This window comes from Homo sapiens, chromosome 7 (assembly GCF_000001405.40).
Source record: "Homo sapiens chromosome 7, GRCh38.p14 Primary Assembly".
NCBI lineage: Eukaryota > Metazoa > Chordata > Mammalia > Primates > Hominidae > Homo > Homo sapiens.
In genome coordinates, this window is record NC_000007.14 from 90,973,048 (window position 1) to 90,997,808 (window position 24,761).

General features: G+C 36.4%; 1 protein-coding gene across 4 annotated transcripts in view; it reads left to right on the forward strand.

Annotated features, from left to right (window-relative positions):
* CDK14 (cyclin dependent kinase 14) overlaps positions 1-24,761 on the forward strand; it is a 614,270-nt gene that overhangs the window by 376,727 nt on the left and 212,782 nt on the right. For all 4 annotated transcript variants that reach the window (NM_001287135.2, NM_012395.3, NM_001287136.1 and 1 more), the window contains one exon: positions 11,101-11,194. In NM_001287135.2, coding sequence (NP_001274064.1) covers positions 11,101-11,194 — 94 coding nt within the window. The remainder of the gene's footprint in view (positions 1-11,100; positions 11,195-24,761) is intronic.

The window sequence follows — 24,761 nt, forward strand, 5'->3', positions numbered from 1 at the left end:
AGCATAATGTTGAAAGGCAGAGAACTAACCTGTAATGAGTTATGGTTCTGTTCATCTGCTTGCCTCCTGTCAGAATCAGAAACAGCTTGACACTCCCTTTTTTAACATCCTTCTTTCCAAAGGTTTCAACAATGCAGATGGCTCTGAAGGGCTCTAAATAATTTTCTAAACTTGAGAAGAGGCCTCTTATCACTTTCAATTAGGAAATTATGTATAATAAGGGGCAGGTCTCCCCCCACCATAATAGTCTAAGTTTGATGAGTCATTGTTCCTGCTGCACATATGGCAGTGCACGGGCTATGCTGTGTCATGATCCCTCTGGAATTGAAACTGTCACTCTGCTTAAAGCTCTCGGTCCTAAGGAATCCCAAGCCTTTGCTAACACATGGATGCAATAAAAAAACGAAAATCTAGGCAGTGTTTTCTGACATTTTCATTGCAACCATATTTTAAAATATTAGAGTCTTTCTGCATTATCTACTGATATTGAGCCAAACTTTTATCGGGGGGACCAGCCCACAATATTTCAACGTAGGTTCTTTCTATTTTCCTAAGTGTTGGCTGATCTGAGAAATAAAGAGAAAGAATACAAAGAGAGAAATTTTACAGCTGGGCCTCTGGGGGTGTCATCACATATTGGTAGGACTGTGATGGCGACCTCGAGCCGCAAAACCAGCAATTTTTTTTAGGGATTTTGAAAGGAGAGGGGGTGTACTTACAGGGAGTAAGTCACAGAGATCACATGCTTCAAAGGGCAATGAAAGATCACAAGGCAAGGGCAAAATTAGAATTACTGATGAGGGTCTGTGTCCCACTGTGCACGCATTGTCTTGAAAAACATCTTAACAGGAAACAGGGTTCGAGAGCAGACAACCGGTCTGACTAGAATTCACCAGGCTGGAATTTCCCAATCCTAGTAAGCCTGAGGGTACTGCAGGAGACCAGGGCATATTTCAGTCCTTATCTCAACCTCGTAAGACAGACACTCCCAGAGCAGCCGTCTATAGACCTCCCCCCAGGAATGCATTCCTTCGCTAGGGTATCAATTATTAATATTTCTTTCTGGGAAAAGAATTCAGTGATACTTCTCCTATTCACATAACCATCTATAGGCTTTCTACGAGAAGGAAAATATGGCTCTATTCTGCCTGACCCCACAGGCAGTTAGACCTTATGGTTATCTTTCCTTGTTCCCTGAAAATTGCTGTTATTCTGTTTTTTTTCAGGGTGCCCTGATTTCATATTGTTCAAACACACATGTTTTACAAACAATTTGTACAGTTAACGCAATCATCACAGGGTCCTGAGGCGACATACATCCTCAGCTTATGAAGATTACAGGATTAAGAGATTAAGACAGGCATAAGAAATTATAAAAGTATTAATTTGGGTAACTAATAAATGTCCATGAAATCTTCACAATTTATGTTCTTCTGCCGTGGCTTCAGCCAGTCCCTCTGTTCTGGGTCTCTGACTTCCCGAAACAAACTTTTGCCTTGAGAATTAGGGAAGAAGGAGAACAATGTTTTATTTTTTTGATATCTTAATCTAACCAAAATTAGATTAATGTCAACTAGAGAAATAATAATCTTTATGTCTTATTCTGCTTCCTCATGTGATATAATTATTTATTGAGTTAATTACCATTTAGTTAACAATATCTTTTTGAGAAAATTGACTGAGTATAGTCCCTTGAAAATATGCATCAAATGCAGATTTTTTTATTATGCATGCTGATGGATGTAATTAATCCATATTTAGTTGAAAGATAGAAAGTTATCCTACACCATAAAATCCCAACAGGACTTTAATGAACAGATACATACATTACAAGGCATATTAGCTGGTGCCTTTTTGACCTAACCCTATTTCATTCAGGTCTGGTAATGTTGCCATATCGCCATAACCCCTATCAATCATTTGGGCTATATTTTTAAAAGCAAAAGACCAAATCTTTGTTCTGAGAAAGGTAATGGTGGCTAATACATTTACAAGTAAATAAATAAATTGCAGTTGTAGAAAGTATCATGGAGAGCACAGAGTTAGGGGACCTAACATAGCCTGAGAGATCAGAAGACCTTCCCACAGAAGTAGCCCTGAACTTGTCTTTCCCTTTTCTAAGGGAGGAAAGTTCTTACTCCTTCCCTGTAAATTACATTTTTTTCTATGTATTACACACTCCACCCTACCCTTGCCCCAAATATAGTAGTTTCAATAAATCTTTTCACCTTGAATTCCTTTGCCATAGAGTATATTATATATATTTCTTCAAATACTTTCATATTAAATTTTTAATTTAATTTTTAAAAATTGACAATAATTTACATTTTCATTGGGTACATAGTGATGTTTTGATACATATAATGTATAGTGATCAGATCAGGGTAATTAGCCCATCCTTCATATAAAAACATTTATCATTTCTTTGTGTTGGAAACATTCAATATCTTCCTTCTAGCCATTTGAAACTATATAGTATAGTATTATTGTTATAGTCTTAATAATATATATAGTATATGTTACATATAATATAGTCTTATTTTCTTAACTATAGTCATCCTACATTGGTATAAGACACTAGAACTTATTCCTTCCTTCTGGCTGTAATTTTGTGTCTTTTAGCAAATCTCCCCCTATACTTTCCTTCACTACCCTTACCAGCCTCTAGTACCTTCTGTTCTACTTTTTACTTCTATGACATTGACTTTTTTTAGCTTCCGTATATGAGTGAGAACATGCGGTGTTTAACTTTCTGTCCCTGGCTTATTTCACTTAAGATAATGCCCTCCATTTCCATCTATGTTGTCACAAAAGACAAGATTTCATTCTTTTTTTATGGCTGAATAGTATTCATTGTGCTTGTAGACCATATTTTCTTCATCCATTCATCTGTTGTTGAACACCTAGCTTCATTTCCTATCTTAGCTATTGTGAATAGTTCTGCAGTGAACATGGGGTGCAAATGTCTCTTCAATATACTGATTTCTTTTCCTTTGGATAAATTCCCAGTAGTGGGATGGCTAGCTCATATGGTAGTTCTATTTGTAGTTTTTTGAGAAACCTCCATACTGTTCTCCATAGAACATTCCCACTAACAGTATATAAGAGTTCCCTTTTCTCCACATCCTTGCCAGCATTTGTTATTTTTTATCTTTTTCTTAATGGCCATCATAATTGGAGTGAAATGTCTTATTGTGATTTTGATGAGAATTTCCCTGATGTTTAGTGATGTTGAGCACTTTTTCATGTTTCTTGGCCATTTGTGTGTCTTCTTTTGGAAAATGTCTGTTCAGATCATTTGTCCCCCCGCTTTTTTTTCTTTTAAAGAGACAGGGTCCTTCTCTGTCACTTAGGGTGGAGTGCAGTAGTGCAATCATAGCTCATTGCAGCTTCAATCTCCTGGGTTCCAGCAGTCCTCCCACCTCAGCCTCCCCAGTAGCTGAGACTACTACAGGTGCAGTCCCACCATGCCTGGCAAATTTTTTTTTTTAACTTTTTGTGGAGACAGTCTTGCTGTGTTACCCAGATTGGTCTTGAACTCCCTAGCCTCAAGTGATTCTCCCACCTCAGCTTCCAAACTGCTGGGATTACAGGTAATCAACCATGGCACCTGTCCTCATCGGCCCATTTTTAAATAAGATTGATAGTTTTATCATTGTTGAGAAGTTTGAGTTCCTTATATATCCTAGATGTTAATCTATTGTCATACAAGTAGTTTGCAAATATTTACTCTCATTTTGTGGGTTGTTCTTTCACTCTGTTGATTGTTTCACTCTGTTTTCCTGCGTGTAGCTACATTCCTACCCCACTATATAAAAACTCAATTTAAGTCGGTTGGGGAGATGGATTTGAGACTTATCTCCCATCTGTACAGAAGCTTTTAGTGTAGAAGCTTTTGGTTTGATATAATCCCATTTGTTTATTTTTACTTTTGTTGCCTGTGCTTTTGATGTCTTATTCATGAAATCGTTTCCCAGATCAATGTCCTGTGTTTTCTTCTAGTAGTTTTACCGTTTTGGGCCTTATGTTTAAGTCTTTAATTCATTTTGAGGTGATTTTGTCTAAGGTGAAGCGTGGGAATCTAGTTTTGTTCTTCCGGATAAGAATATCCAATTTTCCCAGCAGCATTTCTTGAAGAGCTTGTCATTTTCCCTTGAGTGTTCTTGGCACCATTATCAAAACACTGGGGGTTCAGCCTAGGTTCCATTTGCCTGCTGCACAGAAAGCCAATGACTGAGACAATGAGTTTTGCCAGGGAAGAAGCCTTTATTTGGGTGCTGCAGCTGAAGAGACAAGAGAAAAGTCTCAAACCCATCTCCCCAGCTGACTAAAATTGGGGGTTTATATAATGCGGAAGGAATGTAGCTACATGCGGGGAAAGAGGAATTAGGGAGGAATAAGGAAGAGGAGTTTCAGTTCCATAATGCTGTCAGTTCTGAGGGTTGGTTTCCTGAGAAACGAACTCAGATAAGACAAATATGTTTCAAGCTTTAAGACTAGGAGATCAATTTCTATGTTTATTTTTTTTAAAAGACCATAAACATCAGTCTTACGGGAAATCATGACATGTCACTCATGATGTTAACCTTTGTCACATGGCTGAGATAGTGTTTGCCAGTTTTCTCCATTGTAAATTTGCATCCACACTCCCTCTCCACTCCTACTTCCATGCTGTACTCTTTGGAAACAAGTCACTAAGCTGAGCTCACACAGAATAGCCAGGGGGAAGGAGGGTCGTGTTGCTTTCGATTCATTCAGCAAATATTTTTGAGCCCTTATTATGTGCCTGACACTCTGCTATGTCCTGGGAATAAGGTGATGTCCACAACCTTGTCCCGATCTTGTAGATGTTCCATCTAGAGGAGACACACCCCCAAAAGCCAAACACAATTTAACATTTTTAAGTGTTATAAAGGGGACAAACTAGGAAAAATAGGGTGAGACACTGGGGCTGGGGCTGTAAGGAGGAACTGCCTTATAGGTGGTCGCTGGGAAAGACATTTCTAAGTGGAGCTATTTGCACTGACCTCTGAATAGCAAAAAGCAATTAACCAGGTACAGAGAGGGCAAAGGGAACAACAATCCGTGCAGAGATCTTGGGATGGGAAAGAGTGTGGCAAGTTTTAGGAGAGGACAGTGGAACAGCATGGCTGGAGCAGAGGAAATCTAATGTGGATACAGACATGATGTAAATTTGGAGATAGAGGTCAGCCGCACAGCATGCGGAGGCTTCACTGCCTCGAGCCTCTACTGTTGATTTTAAGGAAGAAAAAAGTTCAAGGGATAATTTTAAAAATTGGATTCCTCTCCTTTTGTCGATATAGGGGCACGTATGTAGGGTATGAGTAGAAAGAAAACAGGTGGAAAGAAAATCCTCTGAAATTAGGATAGAACCCAGCATAATTTTGGAAACCCCTTATGTTTATAAAATTAAATTTAATAGGTAAAATTTTCTAATGTTTATAAAATAAAAGGTAGTACTTCCAAGCATGATATAATGCTTCCCTGTCTTCTAAATATAAAATAAAAACTTTAAGTTAGTAAAATAACCTATCCCTCTTCTCCCTCCCATGATGCATATCAGCTCACAAAATTATCTATTTTGGGAAAAAGTTAGATAGCACCTTATTAAAAAAATCACTCCACATATTTTCTCCTAATTTATTTCTCAGTTCAAAATACTTTAGAGATTAAAATATCTTCAATCAAGTTTAGAATATCTACTAATTTTTGACAAAATGCAGGAAACTTCTAAGGCATATTTTATTACAGGAAAACTGCTAAAGACAGTAGTGAAAAAACAGATCATATTTAAGAGATTATTTCTATTATTTACAAATAATCATGATATATTATACTTTCTTTTCTTTGTTTTTCCATAACTGATTAGTATGACTTTTTCTATTATTGTGTTTTTTTGCAAGTGGAGCATAACATAGGTCAAGATTTCACAAACTTTGTAAAGGGCCTGATGGTAAAAAATGTAGGTTTTGCAGGACATGTGGTTTCTGTAGCAACTACTTATCTTTGTCATTTCGATGAGAAAGCAGCCATACATGGTACCTAAATGAATGAGTGTGGTTGTTTTTCATTAAAGCTTATTCATAGATATTGAAATTAGAATTTCAGGTAATGTTCGTATGTCACCAAATATTCTTCTTTCGATATTTTTCAACCATTTAAAAATGTAGAAGCCATTCTTAGAATGGAATATGGACTTCTGCTCTCTTTTTAGACTTTTCTTCTATTGTCCACATAGAGCCATAACAACAGCAGTTAGCTCTCTAAAGATTCTTCAGTTTACTAGACTCTGTTTTCTCAACCTGGAATATTTCCATTCCCAGTGCCATCACTCCATAATCCAACCAGCTTCAACTTTTCTAGCCCTTTCAGGCGTTAAGCATCCTTCCTAACCCTACACTCTGAGGTAAGCATGTCCTCTCATGCTCAAGGAACTGTGTAAAATGGAATACGTTATAATTACTGTGTTTATACCATATAGATCTACTAAACAGAAAGTTGATAGAAGTTTTCCCAAAATTAACAACAGTCCTAAAAGTTTACCGACCTTACGAACAATGAGAAGTGAAGCAGAGAAAAAAATTCTAAACTATTAGACATACCCCCAAACCAATGTTCATCGTCATGCTAGAGGAAAGTCTAAATTATCTCTACATTCTCGTTACAGAAAATGTTACTGTAGAATTGTCATAAGAAGACTTAATTGAAGATTATACAGCCAAATTATAGAAATAAATGTATTAGAGAAATTTGTCAGATAATGATAAATGTCAGATAGTTAATTTTACTTTGTTTTCCTGAATGTCAGACTGTTTGTTGCATTTGTTACCTTTTAAAATTTTGTGATTGCTTTTGACTGATTTGCTCATTTTAAATGCACTTCTATAGCCATTTTTTTAGTTATAATTTTATAATCTTTTTAATAACAAAAACTCCCAAATTATGTAAGTTTCAATCCTAAAAGATTGTCTGTCTCTGCTTGTACTGACAACAAATTGTCAATTCTGCTTAAAATTTTGTTTTGAATTGTGATGAAAAAAATCATTCATATACCTGAGACATAAATTAAATTGGGAAATGTTGAGTTCAAAAAATAGAAAAATGTGTGAGCATAGGTGGGTGTTTATGTATTACCTTACTGGGTAACTAATCCTAAAATAAGAGTTTGAGCATACTGCATCCTGTGACACCTTTGATTGTAAGCTTTTGTGACCAGTTCTTATTCTTGAAAAATTTAGACTAAGTGGGTGATAATTACATAATTATTCAAATTCTCAAAAGAAGGAACAAAGGAGACATTTCCTGATATAAGATTATATATCATAAATTATAGTGCTTAAGCAGATGAATTTTTTTTCTCAGTAAACCATTCAGTGCAGTCAATTTAATCCATTGAGAGAGGGAGCATGGGGCTAATGGAGGGTAGAAAGAGGTGGGGGGAAAGCAGACACTAGTTTCTTCATATTAAATTGAAGAGCTCTTATTGCTGTGTGGCAATAAGGCAGTCCAGTAATAAGGAATTCTGTTATATTCATATGTTGATATGTTTTATACACATACTTTTTAATTTTCTTGTACATTTTATCTCTTGTTGTGAGTCCTTTAAGTATAATTCTCTCAGCTTCTTTAGTACATCCTCGAGCATGTTTGAAAAAGATGACGTCATAGGAAACATCCACTAGAAATGAAAATCCAAGTCTTAGCCAGCTAAGCAGATAAGAGCTTATAAAAATGCTACATCATTTCATTCCAACTGAATAGAATTGCAGCATAGAATAGATTTGTCTTTTAATCATTCTAAGTAACATATTATGGAGATGATATAGACTAAACACAAGTAGTGCTAAAATAAATTCTATAAGTAGTTCTGGCAATGTAATAGTTATTTTTCTAGCCAGCCTAGCTGTGTACATAATGGGGGTGGCTATGGCTTCTGCTGAGGCTCTTCACACTCAGAACTGCAGCTTATGGTGGGAAAAAGGAAGGCCAAAAAGTAGAGAGCAGAGAGGATACACTGAGTGTAAAAAAGGAAGGTGCAGGTAGCTATTTAAGATCCAAGGTATTTTATTGTATAAACTAAAATAAGAAGAAAATAGTCTTAGAAAAGAATTCCTGACAGAAAAATTTGGAAAGCCACCGTACTAAAAATTTAAGTAGACTTAACCAGACATCTGAAGCCCTAATATTTATAAGCACATCATTGCATTCTAATATCTTAATAAAATAATTCTCTTGATACCTATGTTGTCTCTCAAATCTAAAATGAAAACAACTTGTGTAAAAACCCATCTACCTAGAACACTGGTTTGAAATTAGTTCTTTACTACTTAAATAAAATTACATCCTATGATATAAAATGGCATTTGTTTGTTTTTAGTCATTATAACACTGTATACTATTGGTGTTTACTTTGAATAAGAATCATGTGGTACAATAGGGAAGCAATTTCTGCAAATACATTACTTCTTTAATTCAAAACATTGTTTATATACAATTGTGATAACAACTGGAGTAGCTTTAGAGAAGTAGGTCACTTGGTCTTAACCCCTAGGTTTATGAAGTAAATTAAAGACACAAGTGTTTGCTTGCCCTAAATTGAGTATGGGGGTGCAGGAGTGGAAGAAGTGTCCCAATATGTTCGTGGTTTTATTAGAATACTTGCAAGAAACATAAACCCATTCAAATAGAGCCAATGTTAAAAATCTGGAGAATTTCCAGGAGGTAGAGAGTTCTAGAAACAAAACAAAACAAAACAAAACAAAACACTGGATCATCTGAACATCTAAGCCTCCAGAAGTCAAGAACCAAGTCATTTCAGGGGACTTCATCTGCAGGAATGTGTAGCCATTCATGCTACTTCCCTGACACTAATGTGACTTAGCCATCTACATATGCTAGTTTCTTACCATACTGCCCCATTCTCCAGAGTCCCGGCAGAAGTATCTAATTGGCTGTCTGTCCATACTATGGATTGGTTATTCCTGTTGGGCTTGGTGCAAGCTGCAGTGGTCTGGGAGGCAAGGTCTTTTGATTTACTGGACTAACTTGCTAGGTGGGAACTGTGAGCATGGCAGGTCAAGCTGCGAAAGAATGTCGAGCATGGTAGATGGCTCATAGAGTAATCCATAAGCTCATAAGGGGAGCAATTCTGTCTGCTGAAAGATCCATGAAAGGCATCACAGAGGAGATGCATTTAAACAGGATTATAGTGGTTGAGTTGGAATTTGCTATCAAGAGTAAATAGGCGAAGAAGGAGGGTACTCTAGATAGTGAAGCAATTTGAGCCAAATGGTACAGTTTTATGCCTGGCACTCAGGTAGATCAGTCTGGCTCAGCGATTCTCACTGTAGCTGCCCTGAATCATCTGAGCAGCCCATGTGGATGCCTGGGCTCCAACCTAGATAAAATGAAACAGGATCTCTGGGGTTTGTGGTCAGAGATATGCAGTTTCTTAACCTTCTCCAGATGATTCTAATGCAAAGAGGATTGAGAACCACTGAATGTCTAGAGACTACAATACTTTATAAGTTTGTGAAATATAATTGGAAAAGGATACTTGAACATGACTTGAGGACTCTTATACATCAGGCTAAGGACTTAACTGGATTCTATAAGTAATAGCACTAGAATGTGCTATTTTATTGGTTTCCACTCTTTTCTGAGCCCAGTATAGTTGCATCTATTTAGAGTTCTTTCAGGGCAGTAGATGGGGGCAGGGGGAGTGGGTAGGTTATGGGATCTAGGTGTACGTCACCTAGATAGCTCATGGTGCTCATTAAAAATACTGCTTATCAAGTAACTCCATTAAAAATGGGCAAAAGACATGAACAGGCATTTCTCAAAAGAAGACATACGAGCAGCCAACAAACATACTAAAAAATGCTCTGCATCACTAATCATCAGAGAAATGCAAATCAAAACCACAATGAGATACTACCTCACACCAGTCAGAATGGTTATTATTAAAAAGTCAAAATACAACAGATGCTGGCAAGGCTACAGAGAAAAGGGAATGCTCATACACTGTTCATGAGAATGTATAATAAATTAGTTCAGCCACCATGGAAAGCAGTTTGGAGATTTCTCAAAGATCTTAAAACAGAACTGTCATACAACCCAGCAATCTCATAACTGGGTATATATCTGAAAGAAAACAAATCATTCTAAAAAAAAGATACACATACTCACGTATTCACCACAGCACTATTCACAATAACAATGAGATGGACTCAACCTAGGTGCCCATCAACAATGGACTAGAGAAAGAAAATGTGGTACATACATACCATGGAATACTATGCAGCCATAAAAAAAGAATGAAATAGTATTGGCCATGTGCGGTGGCTCATGCCTGTAGTCCCAGCACTTTGGGAGGCCGAGACGGGCGGATCACAAGGTCAGGAGATCGCGACCATCCTGGCTAACACGGTGAAACCCCGTCTCTACTAAAAATACAAAAAAATTAGCCAGGCATGGTGGCAGGCACCTGTAGTCCCAGCTACTCGGGAGGCTGAGACAGGAGAATGGCGTGAACCCAGGAGGTAGAGCTTGCAGTGAGCAGAGATCGCGCCACTGCACTCCAGCCTGGGGGACAGAGCAAGACTCCATCTCAAAAAAAAAAAAAAAGAATGAAATAGTGTTGTTTGCAGCAACATGGATGCAGCTGGAGGCCATTATGCTAAGTGAATTAACACAGGAACAGGAAACCAAATACTGCATGTTGTCATTCATAAGTGGGAGCTAAACATCAGGTACTCACAACATAAAAAGCAACAATAGACACTAGAGACTACTAGAAGGAGGAGGAAGGAAGGGAGGCAAGGGTTAACAAACTATTGGGTACTACGTTCAGTACCTGGATGATGGGATCATTCATACCTGAGACCTCAGAATCACATAATATACCCATGTAACAAACCTGCACGTGTACCCCTGAATCTAAAATAAAAGTTAGAGGGGAAAAAGGAAACAGTTTACTCACCGCTTCTCTTCTGTAGGAGTGGATATTCTAATTCCAGATTTAGTTTTCCTAAGCAGAATATATTGAAGTTTTGTAACGATTCTTTCTTCTCTCTCTAGGGGAGTAGGTTGCATCTTTGTTGAAATGATCCAAGGAGTTGCTGCTTTTCCAGGAATGAAAGACATTCAGGATCAACTTGAACGAATATTTCTGGTAAGTCCTTTACAGAGTATTTCTAAGAAAAATTGGTTTCTAATTAGTCACTTAGTGACAAATTCTACAGCAGTCTGTGGAAAAATAATTTAAAACAAAATTTGTTGTCACATTTGGTTCTAACATATTTTGGACCTTTGAAAAAGCAGGAAATCAGTTAAGAATTATGTTTTTATACTACTGTACGTGAATAACATGTCAAAGTGGTAAGAAGGAATGGGGTGGGAGAGGCAATATAGAGAAAGTAATGGGTTAAAAATGAAGGTTCTGACAGAATAATTCCAAATAATTGCTATATAGATACTCCCTCCCCATCATGTAGGTGGAGCTTAACTCCCCCGTCCCCCTTGACTGTGAGCTTTGATAACTTTCTTCCATAAAGCAGAGCAGGGAGAGTGGGAAGATGGTGACTTTACAGTGGAGACACCAGTTAAACAGTACTTCCGTCAGGTTTTCAAGGCTATCATCATCAAAGATAAGTCATGTTAGTGGGCTGTACCCTTGATATGATGTGTTGATAATGGCACCTCACCTCTGTGGTCTTCCTCCCCAAACCATAGCCCCAGTTAAATCACAAAAAATATATCACACAAGCCAAAACTGACAGACATTCTACAAAATACATGACTGGTAGTCTTCAAAACTGTCAAGGTCATCAAAAACAAGGAAAGTTCGGGAAACTGGCATAAACCACAGGAGACTGGGGAGACATGACAAGTCAATGTTATGTGGTCTCCTGGATGAAATACTAGAAAGGAAAAACATTATTAAGTATGTTGTTAATATCAATATACCAATGTGAATTTCTTAGCTGTGTCAGTTGTACCATATTATGTAAGATTTTAATTAGAGAGAGAAACTGGGCGAGTGGTATACATGAGCTCTCTGTATTATGTTTTGTAACTTTCCTGTAAATCTAAAACTATTCTAAAATTAAAAGCTTATTTAAACTTTTGAAAATGTGTAAAATGTAAGTGTTCTGGAGCCAGACTATCTGGGCTTATCACCCTTCTCTGTCATGTTTTAGCCATGGGACTTTAAGCAAGGGGCTTATTAGTTCTCTGAGCTTTAGTTTTCTCATGGGTGAAATGAGGGATAATAACAGCACCTTCTTCATAGGTGGCTTTGAAGAATAATTGACTAATATAGTTCTTTTAGGACTCTGCTTGGCATATAGTAAATACTTTACATATATACAAATCGTTGTTATTTTAATTACATCATTTTATGCCAGATATTCAGTAGAGCTTCCAGTAGAGCTAATATTCATATAAACCTATAATTTAAAACATGAAATCAGAGTTAGACAAATTAAGTAAGCGCAACGTTTAAATACAGCTATCATATTAAGAATACAATCTGCAGTAGAACGTAGCGATACAAACTGAGGCCCCATCACTATTGTATTCCCTTAATGTCAGCAATAAAATGGTAAGAAAAGAAGACTGGAAACTAGGAAATTAAAGCACATGTGATTCCTCTATGCAGTAGCCTATATCCCTGTGAGTCGCTGTGTGCTAACAACAAATGGACAATCAGCAAAGTCCCTAACATAGAAACCATCCTCAAAGTGTTGTCCTGTTGGTTTTGTTCTTTCAGAAACCATCTGTATCCACTTCCTTTCAATTTTATTTTATTCAATATGTATAAATTCCCACACACAAATGTTAACATGATTATAAAAATAGTGTATTTTTATAATGGAAAATTCCTACAGTGTCAAAATGAAAAAAAGCTGAAAAATCACCCTTTGTCCTACTACCCAGAGAAAACCACATCTAGTATTTGGACATATATCTTCTATAGAGTTTTTCTATATGTATTTGAAAAAATTGAATCATATCTTGTATATTCTTTTGGAACCAGCTATTTCCACTAAACAATTTGTAATTAACACCTTTCAATGAAAAATAAATTCAGAAACCTATCATTCTTAATGACTGGGAAGTGTTTCATTATATGGATGAGACATTATTTACTTAACCAGCCCCATATTGATAGCTTGTTTTCAGTTTTTCATTATAATAAAATGCTGCCAGAAACTTTCATTGCACAATCATCCTGTTAGTTAAGAATAATTATTAGAATAAGAAGTCCTTATTTCAATAAAATTTAATTTTTATAGATGTAGACTATTTGTTCATATCCATCCCTTCATTTAAACTCATGAAACCTACTCCCAAGAAAATCTCTTATTCACTTTATTGAGATTGTACTGAGTCTATGGAAATAATACAAAATTGTACTTTCCTATCCACGATTAAATTATTCAATTTTATGGCTGTTAGCATAAATGTACAGTTTGTATAAACATGTTTGGTTTTTTGTTCTACTCAAGACTTTACTTTTATTCAATTATTTTAAATAACTTTTTCACAATAAGTTTCTTAAAAATATAAACTGTTCCATATATTTTGTATTGACAAAAATGGCCAAGAGAGAACTTTAATGGGCTGTAGTTTATATAAATTTTTATGCAAAGACATATCTCCAAATATTTAGCATTTTTATTTACATAAAGCTCATGTATAATGATAATAATAGTATAACCAAATTATATTCTGATAATTTTCTGAACTTTAGACTCCACTTTTCAGCCTCTGATAGCTGTTGAACAACAATAATGTAACTTGTCAAATTACTGATTTATGGTAGAATTATTACTGTACTGTATTTGAAAGCAGAAAACTTTAAAAAGGGAATTATACTGAAAAGAAAGAGCTCAACTTACATATTACTTTAGGTTGAATTATAAAGGAAAAGAAATTGTTATATAACTGAGATATATTATACAGCAACAGAACAAAAAGGTGAGTTTTATAAAAGCATAATTTATTGACATAGCTTTGTCAAAGCTTTCATTTGAAATCTTTGTTTAACAGAAGTAATTTCTGTTGGGTAATATCTTGTTGGATTATTTCTTGTATGAAATTTTTGCTATTATTTTTTAATTTTATGGCATTAGTTTCCCAATTTTATGGGTATTCAGAGACCTTTGAGCTATGACTAGGCTTTTAATAAGTCAGATAAATAAATCATTTTAAATTTCCCATGGGATTATTGATACACTAAACTACCATTGCTCTTGTTAGAGTACAGAGACCCTCAAATGCAGATAAGCATCATGATTTATGGCAATAATTCTTTCATTTACTGTAGTTATTTTACATGTCTAATGCCTCTTACAATAAAATGTCCTTTGATAATTAGGAAATGAAGATCATCATCTATATAAAATTACTGCTGTAGAATTAAATGATGCTATGTTTTGCCCTGAAGAATTAGACAAAGCCAGATAAAGAGAAATCTAAAGAATTCTTTTGACATTAAATGTTATCAACTTAAATATTTTATTTTCTCCACTGAATTGTTTAAATTTGCAAATATTAGCTATATTATCACACAAGTAGACTCTCTCAAGACTGGTGTGATCCTTGGAGGAGGAAATTTTATAAACCCAGTATGGTTAAATCACTGAGAAAAAAAAAATGCTTTTCCTCTGTGACCTTTTATGTCTAATCTTGGGAGGAATGACTATTAAATAGTAATTAGATCCACTTTAACAGGCCTGTAGTATAAACTGCCAGAGACTCTTTTCTAAAGTGGCAATTGTATATCTGGCCTCTGGTAAAGCATTGCCAAGGAGATAATCAACTTTGTAAAGTCATGAAACATGGGATTATTTGGTTTGTTTTGTGTTTTAATACAAGGATTAAGTTCATTCATTTGCCTGTGAACTGTACATAGAAAGGTAGTTAATAACTTTGAAGCACAAAATTAATAGCTTGTTACCCAAGACAGCTAATATAATTAGCTCCCACACACTGAGTCTTTATAAAATATGTGAAAGGAAATAAAGATCGGTTAGTAAAAGTCTTTATGTTTTTCTTTCTAAGGTTCTTTTTTCCCTATTCTCTTTTTTTCTTCCTTTGGTTGAAGGGAGCAGTTCACAATTTTAACAAGTTCAGTGAATTCATTTCTGGAACATAATAACCATGTTCATATGTATATAAGGTGAGCTGGGATATGCTACAATCTGAAATTTCACTGTTAAATCATTTTCCTTGACATTGTGATACATGCAAGAAAGGAAGGAAGATGATGGAATTTTGATGAATTATATTCAAGACATTTTGAATTGGCAGGTAAATAGGCACCTAATTCTCCAAGCAGTAACTCTGCTCTTAGGTGGAAAGAGTATTTATTTTCACTTCTTTAGCATTACCCAGTTTTTAATGTGGCATGGTGTATTCTATTCACCTCCATTAGTTGCAAAATAAGCAGCAAATGCATTCATCCAGGTGAATATATATTCAGAGTGACAAAATCACAACTAATAAAAAATTTGTATTCTAAACATATTATTCTGAATTGAAAAAGAAGGGTACTTGTACAACCCTGGGAATATGTTTCTCTCTCACTTCAAAACAGCTGAACAAATGGCAGGGAATGCTTGCACAGCTGTCTGAAACCTTTGGCAGATGCTTCTGGGTCTCTGTGGCTCATGGCCCATTGTGTGACAGTCATGACAGAGGAGCTGGAATGATTCTGTTTTTCAGATCTGTTCTTTTTCTCTCTGCATTTGAACGTTGATAACCCTGACAAATCACACCTTTCCTTGTCTCCTGGGTCTCCTGGCTTATAATGAAATTTCATCCACTGGTTGTTAAACTATTGTGCATTATTTGACTGGTACAATTGTTAAAATAGTCCTCTTCATCAATATATGCCATTCAGAATTTGAGTGTGTTTGTGTGTGAGTGTGTGTGTGTGTGTGTGTGTGTGTAATGAGCCACATGCAACTTTGAAAGCTACTATAGTACTCAGTCTGGCTTTTGAGTTGGATTATTCCTTAAGCCGCTGTGCTTTGCATTAAACTGACTGTGGAGGTATAGTTTGCAGATTCAGTTCCTGTCCTTGTTTCCTCCACATGGCTCCGATTCCAGGGTCTTTAGAACTGGAACCATAATCCTGCAGCTTCATGATTGGTTAGGGAAGCCTTGTAGAATGTAAGGGAAAGCTGATATCACCTCCTTGATGGTTATTACCATTCAAGTGGATGTATTATAACAGCCACATGGTTAGGATGGAATATTGCTGTCACAGATTTGTATCATCATTACCATTACTGGATTTGCTTTAGGTTATTTCTGCCATACTACTTCAGCAGTTACTCTGTAGCACTAGGTACAATGAAGACATAAAAGAATTATGTGTCATGGTGTCAGCCTGTAGTCTCTGTAGCACTAGGTACAATGAAGACATAAAAGAATTATGTGTCATGGTGTCAGCCTGTAGTAATGACCATGAAAATCAAGGCAGGTGGGCAAGGCATACTTCAGGAATGGAATCATGAATAATTGCTGAGCAATTGGTCAGCAGATGTGAGACCCAGCAATAACGGTGGATTCTATATTAGTTAAAATACTGAACGCTAAGAGTTAAATGTTGTGCTCTAATCCAAGGTTTTTGTTTTCTACCCGCCCTCACCCACTACCCCCAGCAAGCCACCTTTTCAAATTGGACAGTAGTTTCTGCATCTGTAAAGGAGGAAGTTAAACTAAGTGATTTCAATATTGTCTTGTAGCTGTAACCATTTTTAATTTTTTTAAATGCTTGATGTTACTGTATTATGTATAAATTATGGGTGTTTAAAGAAAAATTGCTAAGAAAATTTGTATTAAGCACTAAAGAAAGTATAAGATTTTGAAGTGAAAATAAGAGGGAAAAGGAGACATCAGGCAGTGGTATAGGAGTGGGTGGAAGGTGAGGTTGAATGTTCAAGACTGCACTTTGATAGTTTAGTATTTTTAAATCTCATTTTATCCATAATGTAATAAAACAGTATAACAGGAGAGTAATGTTAAGAGCATTTTAACAAAAATAATACAGTACAGTGTGGTAGTATGTGCCTATGGTCCCAGCTACTTGGAAAGTTGAGGTGGGAGGATCACTTAGCCCAGGAGTTCAAGGCTGCAGTGAGCTATGATTGTGCCACTGCACTCCAGCCTGCGTGACAGAGTGAGACCCCGTCTCTAGAAAAGAAATATACAATGTGGATAAAATGATAAATTCAACTGTATAAAGACTGGCAGAAGTAGAGAATTAAACAACACCTGTTAGGGTGAAGAACATTGAAAATATTAAGCTACAATTTTTAAATCAATTTTAGAAAAACAAATAGGGACAATAGATTATAATACTCTACCTCCCACCCTGGAACAAGTACCTCTTAATTTGTACTTGTTTCCTTCAAGCTTCATCTATAGGCATAGTCATTTACATGGCGAAAAATCTTTTTCAGAGAATCAACTGTATATAAGTAAAAGAAACGTATGAGAAAAAAATCACCACTGAGATATAACCAACATTAAACATTTTTGTATTCCCTTTTCTAGATTTTCACAATTGAGTTCATGATAAATTTATGGTTTTGTGTTTAGCTTCTCTTTAACAGGAAATAGAGAGCCATTTCCAAGCCATTAATATGTAATTGAAAATGTTATTTTAATTATACTATAATATCTTACAAATGTGCCCAAATAGAGAAACTCCAACATTTCTGTATTACTAGATAATTTGCTTGCAGTTTTTATGCTACGGTAATCATTGCATATTTTTACCACATTTAATTATTCATTCATTCAGCAAGATTATTAGGCACTTTATGTGACAGTCACTGTGACTATGGTGGTAAACCAACAAACATAGCCCCTACTTGCTTCGAGAATATGGTCAGCTGAGCTACATTTGAATAGCTTCCAGGAAACCAGGTCAGAAAGATGTTGCAAAACGATTGTTACACATCTTGGATATAAATGATGAGAAAAAGAGTCAAAGATAACTTAAAAGCTTCAAATTTGGGGAATTAAGTGATCAACGATGTCATTGAAAATAATGGGAACATTGAAAAGGAGTACCACTGGAGGGAGAGGAAGAAGAGAACTCAAGGTACTGGACTTTATGTGATAGCGGCGGTGACCTCAGATGGACATGTCCAGTATATAACTCATACACAACAAAATCAGGGAGATGCATGGGAATCAAGGAGCCATTCACCCAAAAGAGACAATCTTGGTTCCCACATCGTATTAGTTCTTGAATCATAAGAAGGTAGAGGGAAATGCAGTGGACCACTGCCTACCTTGTAGGGGATGTTCATGTTTTGGGGGATTGGAGGGCTAGACCAGGGGAGAAATCAGTACAGTGACACAAATCAAGGGAAGGGTGACCAGAAGAGAAATGAAGGGTAAGAACAGAAAAAGAAAATCACTCCCTGGAGCAAGATAATACTTCAGCTCAGGTCTGTTCAGCGGGTAGGGGTGGTGGGTTATGAAGCCAGATTCCCTTCCTTGCTTGTTCCCAGCATGTTCTGCACACTGCTCATGTAGTTTGTGGCACATTGTATGTGCCCAGTAAATGCTTTTAGCCCAGAGGAAAAGAAAGATTTCCTGCCCCAAAAGTGTAAGAGTCAACACAGAAAACACACATGGGTTTATTAAGAAAGGTTAGACTTTCCATGGTTATTCAAAGGAGACCTGTGATTCTCCTTGATGTTTTGGTGATGCTGGAGTGAAGGTGGGTATAGCCTCAGAGGGATGCACTAGGTTGTCCACTCTTGGCTCTGCTTCTATTAAGATTTTGCATGTGAAACAGATCCCACTGCTGAAAGAAAGGTTGAAAAACCCTGGACTAATAACATCTTAAGGTCCTCCCTGGTCAATAGTTCTATGAAAAGAAAAAGTCTATGTGGAAGAAAAGTGTTCAGAAGAGATCCAGTGAAAATGAAGATGTTGCAAAAATAAACATTGAGTGGTTCATGTGTGGAGACATTAGATGGATGTTCTAATAAAGAAAGTTCTATGCTTCTAAGCGAATGGAAATGTTGGTAGCAAACTCCAGTAAGGTCATTAGTCTTACATGAAAGCTAAGACAGTGGGATATCCATCTATAGAATAGCTAATCACATTACTGCTTAAAAAGAAACTTCTATTAAAAGACAACCTGTTTGTGACCCAGAGATTTGAATTAACTCACATAGTGAAAAAACTTTTTTTACTTCAGTGTTTTTGCATTGGAGTACCACAAACTTTCTATAAAATGGAAAATGAGAACACTTTAATTAAATCATTCATTTTCTAAGTTATTCATTTATGCAACAGATATTTATTACGTGCTTACTCTGGGCTAAATAATCTTTTCATGGTTTGAGGAGACCGCAGTACACAAAATAACATTCCTGCTCTCATAGAACTGATATTCCTGTAAGGAAAGATAGACAGTGAGAAAATAAATATATAATGTGTTTCTTAAGTGCTATTCTGAGAGATGCCATTTTACATACCATGTTCTGGGGAGTTTTCTCTCAGAGGTGATACTTGTTCACTGAAGTTTGTAAGGGCACCAAACTCACAAATAACAGGGATCAGAGCATTTGAGGCAGAGGGAGTAGCAACTTGGGTGGGTTTAATGATAATAGTATTAAATGAGAATTCTCATGCCTGCATATGTTAAATTAAGGAACATTCTCCCATGTATTGAAGTCATCCTTTATATGAAGCATTTTCTTACTTGGGAAATGCTTGCTTTGTGTGGAACATTAAATTTCTGTATATGTTACAATTCAGGCATTAGATTGAGTGAATCCACGGAGTTTGAAGTACAACTGAATACGTATTCCAAGTAGGAATTATGCTGGGGCTAGGGATTTGGGCTTTCTGAGTCAGTTCACCATGAGAGTTAGTATAGATACAAGAAAATCGAAGTGTTTCTGTTTTGGAGAGTAGATGATAGTTCAGAAGGGAGAAGGGAGGAAGAATGTCCAGAGGATGAAGAGACCCAGAGAGTGCTTTTTTTGAAAGTCAAAAGTAGAAGAATTTCAAGAAGGAACTATGTATCAGCTGCATCAAATACTCAGAAAGCTGAGACAGGCCACTGGTTGGTGACTTTTGAGTGCTGAATATGTGAAGCCAGGTTACAATGGATTTAAAGGGTGAGTGGGTAGTGAAGAATTGGGAGACACTGAGCCTGTAGACAACTTTGAGAACTGGGTCAATGAAGAGAATTGATGTCACCTTGAGGATATTTTACAATCAATATTCATATATTTTATAATCTAAGTATTTTTAAAATAATGAAAACCAGTATATTTGTAAGGTAAAGGACACCAAAGATCCAAAAAGGCATACTGGATGGATCAAGGTATTGGAGCAGGCAAGAGAGGATGGGTGGAGGAGACAGTGCCTTGAAATGTGGATGAAAAATTTTTCTGAAAGAAGAAGGGGAAGGAAGGAGGGGGACATTTCAATAAATGTTTTAGAGGAGAGAGAAGAAATTTGAAGATTTTATGATCTGCATGATTCCTACGTGAAAGGGAGTGGGGTATGGCTGGCACAGTGATGTGCATATGGAGGGCAGATGTTGAGGGAATGGATAATATTCATAATGCTGGTGAAATAATAAATGATTTGCAACTGATATGATAGGAAATAGTTGCTGACTAGATTTTTAATCTATTTTTTATCTGAGACATTATTATGGAAATAGAAATGTTGTCTTCCCAATTTGTGATTTGTGATAGTTTATTTACTTTTCTATTAACATAAGCTTTTATATCTTCCTACCACCTGTAAATATTTCCCAGTTGTAGTAATTTTTACCAAAGACTTTTCTGGAGGCTATGGTTTACCTCTGTGATCTGTCTTAAATGTTTTGAAAAAAATTTAACCTAATGTATTGCTGTTTAATATTACTATCTTTTTAATATACATGACTTTATTTTTAACATATATGACTACTTCCTGGTTGTTCTGGTTATTTTTTCTCATGTAACCACCTCAAAACCCCCTAGTTTAAATAAACAATAGTCATTTTTAAATTTTCTTTTATGGTTTCAGGGTCAGGAATTCAGTAGGAGCTTGGCTGGGCAGCTCTGGACTTGGGTTGCAGACACATGGTAGCTGGAGCTCGACTAATCAGGGCTGGAGCAGTTGGGACTAGCCAAACATTCCTGTTTCTTTCTTCAGAGTCTTAGGGCTCTCCAAGGGTTCTTGCCATGTGGGCTGGTTTGGACTTCCTTATATCATGGTGGTTGGGTTCCAAGAGTGGGTGGCCCAAGAGGACCAGATGGAAACTGTGTGGTTTCTCTTAATTTAGCTTCAGAAGTCATGCAGTAACTCTCTCCTGGTCAGAGCAGTCACAAACTCTCACCCAAAGTGAAGGGAAGGGGACATAGATCCCATTTGTACATAAGAATGTCAAGAACGCTGGGACTGTGTTTTCAAGCTGCCACACTGACCATGTAAATTTTCATTAGAGCATATCACCAAGTCGAGCTGATAAACAGCTTTGTAGGGAAAAACTCCAGGAAACAATTTTATCAAGTTCCTGAATTTTTTGTTTTTCCCATACTCCTTATAGCCATTATATTACTGCTTCCCGTGCTAAATATAAAGCATGAATTGTCAAGAGTGTTACTTCGTGGGTCATGAGGTCCCTCATTTGCTCACCCTTTTTTCTTCCCTTTTTGACTAACAAGTTCATGGATGTGTCAGACTGAAAAAGATGGCGAAATACTGCCATAGTGTGACACATCTGAGGCAAGTGAGGAGGTGGTGACACTTCTTAGCAGATTCCCTAAATGTTCTCCATAAAGCGTGTTTTCATAATTCCCATTCTGCCTTTGAGTAAAACTTTCATTTGCAGAATACTTCCCCACGTAAATCTGATTTCTCAGAACATTACATATGTTATCTCTTGAGGTGAGCAGCATCTAAGATGGCTCCTAGTGTGCCCACCGCCTGGCGTTTATGCCCTTGTGTAATGCTTTCCCCTTGAGCGTGGGCTGGACCTCGTTACTCACTTCTAATGGATAGAATATGGCAAAAATGATGGGATATCACTTCTGAGACTAGGTGACAAAATGATTGTTACTTCTTGCTCACTTTGTCTTCCTCTCTTACCGGCTCGCTCTGAGGGAAGCCAGCTGCCATGTTACAAGTTGCTCTGAGGAGGGGCCCTCATATCAAGGAACTGATGTTTCCAGCCAACAGCCAGTGTAAACCTGAGGCTTGACCTAAGCTTTGTGAATGAGCTTAGAAGTGGATGCCTCCCCAGAGGAGACCACAGCCATGGTTAACACCTTAATTGCCCCCTCATGAAAGACTGAGCCAAAGGCACCTAGCCAAGATTCATTGGAATTCCTGACCAAAGAAAACTGTAAGATAATAAGTGTTTGTTACTTAAAGCCACTGGGTTTTGTAGTAACTTGTTGCACACCAATAATTACCTAATATAACTCTTTTATAGAGATATACTAATAGATAACTAATATATCCCATGACCAAGAAAGAGTAGATACTATTATTACTCTTATTTTATAGCAGAGAAAATTATCTTTGGAGATCATATGAACTTCCCTAAGAAGACATGTTTAGTGTGTGCCAGAACTGAGACTAAATGCCAAATCTGCTTACTCTTTCATCAGAATACTCTGTTTTGTCTTTTTGTTTGGTTGTTTTTGCTCTGATTCTTAATCAGGAGTATGTCTTAGAGTTATTTGTTGAATGCACATTCTTAGACCCCACTGAGGATTCTGAATCCGAGTCTCAGGGGATGGGACATCCCTCTGTAGTAAAACAGATAAGCAGTCCCTGGTTGATGAGTTCTCTTAAGAACTCTACTCTAAAAGATACATGGAATTCTTTGAAATGTTAAGCATGTTTTAAATTTCCTGGCCTTATGTGACAACCTTAAAACCTAGATAGTGTGGACATTCTATCTGGAATGTGGAAGTCATTCTTCGGTTAGACTGAGTCCTTTGTTTCTCACAGAGATACTTTTGATAGGACCTCAAGGGACCCTCCCTTATAATGAGGATATTCATGGCTTTGTGCTACTAGTATCAGGTGACTATTATTAGAATTGCATACACAAGCAAATGAATATTTGTAATCATCATGTCCCAGCACTGTGACTTCTTATCTTAGCTGGCCACTTGATTGACACTCTGTTTTCCACTCTCATTTTGCAACTTACCTTTTCTTATGCTTCAGAAGTCTTTACCCTCAAGGATAAATCTGTCCAGGATGTTAATCTTTTAGTGAGGCATGAGTTCATTTAAAACCTGACCTTGTATCATCTCTTGCCCAACGCCCTGCAAGAAAAAAGCCTCCTCAAAATATTCTATCCTAAATTGATTTCTTATGTCTCACTATTACATAACTTGATAAAAAGCTATGGCTGTTTGATTAAGATTTATCATAAAATAATCTACCCAAGTCATTGAAGCATTTCCCTTAGAGAACAGTTTTATTCTAAGTCAAGTTAACAGATTATCTGACCTTGGAGCTGAATTTGTCCTCTATCTCATTTGTCTCTTTTGACAATGACAGTCATACGTTTCCAGGTAATGTGTATGTATGGAGGCTATGGCTTTCATATTCTTACTAAAATCTCTTTGTGGGTTTAGTTGTACTGGAAGTGTTGAAAACTGTATTTTAGATATACCATTCAATTAAATTTTTCTTAGTATAATACCTAATATAAATTCAGGCTTCTATTAATTTTGAATAACTCTAGACATGAAAATTGTCAGTGAATCTGAGTCTCTGTGTGGGCATATATTCTTCTCCAGGACAAAAGCAAATGTCAGTATTGTCATATTTTACCTTTCATGTTGGTCAATCCCTGGTAAAGATGCAAGAATTGGTTTAGAGACACATATGGTGCTATTAAACTTCTGTGTCTAAGTATCTGCCAGTTTTTCCTCTTCCTCTCTCTCCAATGTCTAAATATAACCCAACATTCAAAATATATGAAATGTTCCCCCTCACCAGTGAATTTTTCTCTGATTTTTCAATTGGAAATTTTCTTTCCTCCTCCTGGACCTCTTGGTCTCTTTGCCCAAACTTTCTGGTGTCTCTCTTCAGTGTCTGCCTTGCACTGCAGCTGTTTTGCTCTTATTCTCCTAATAGAGTTTAGGATTTGAGAGTAGAGGTAAGAATATAAGGACTACTTTGTGTGGAGCAAACAGTATGTGCCCTGACATGGCTTAGATATTGACTTGTGATGACAGAATTATTGCAGAGGCCAAGGACATTTCTTGAACTTCTCTGTGTCCCTTTTTAAATACATCTTTTGGAGAATTCTGTGGGAATGAAGTTAGAACCAAAGTTTAAAAATTAAAGATGGTTTTCCTTCTTTCATTTGTTTGTTTAAAAATAGATGCAAATTCATGCTTTTTGTTAGTTTCTCCTGTTGCAGTTCTTTGTTCTAATAATACCTAAATCATTAATGGCAGATAACATTTAACATTCAGATGCAGAGTTCATTTCCTTGAAGCTCAAGAGAACAAATTACTATCAATTTGCTCTAAGTAAAATTTGGTATTAAAAATGTTTCATGTTTGCCAAGTAGAAAGTAAACAGCTGAGAGGTGTTAATAAAACCTTTTTGGGAGAATAATATTAGGTTCTTTTCTTGGCTCTCATATTATTCATAATAAAATGAAATACTGCTTATCTTTCATATAGAATAGTGATATATGCACATTTAATTTGATTATTGAC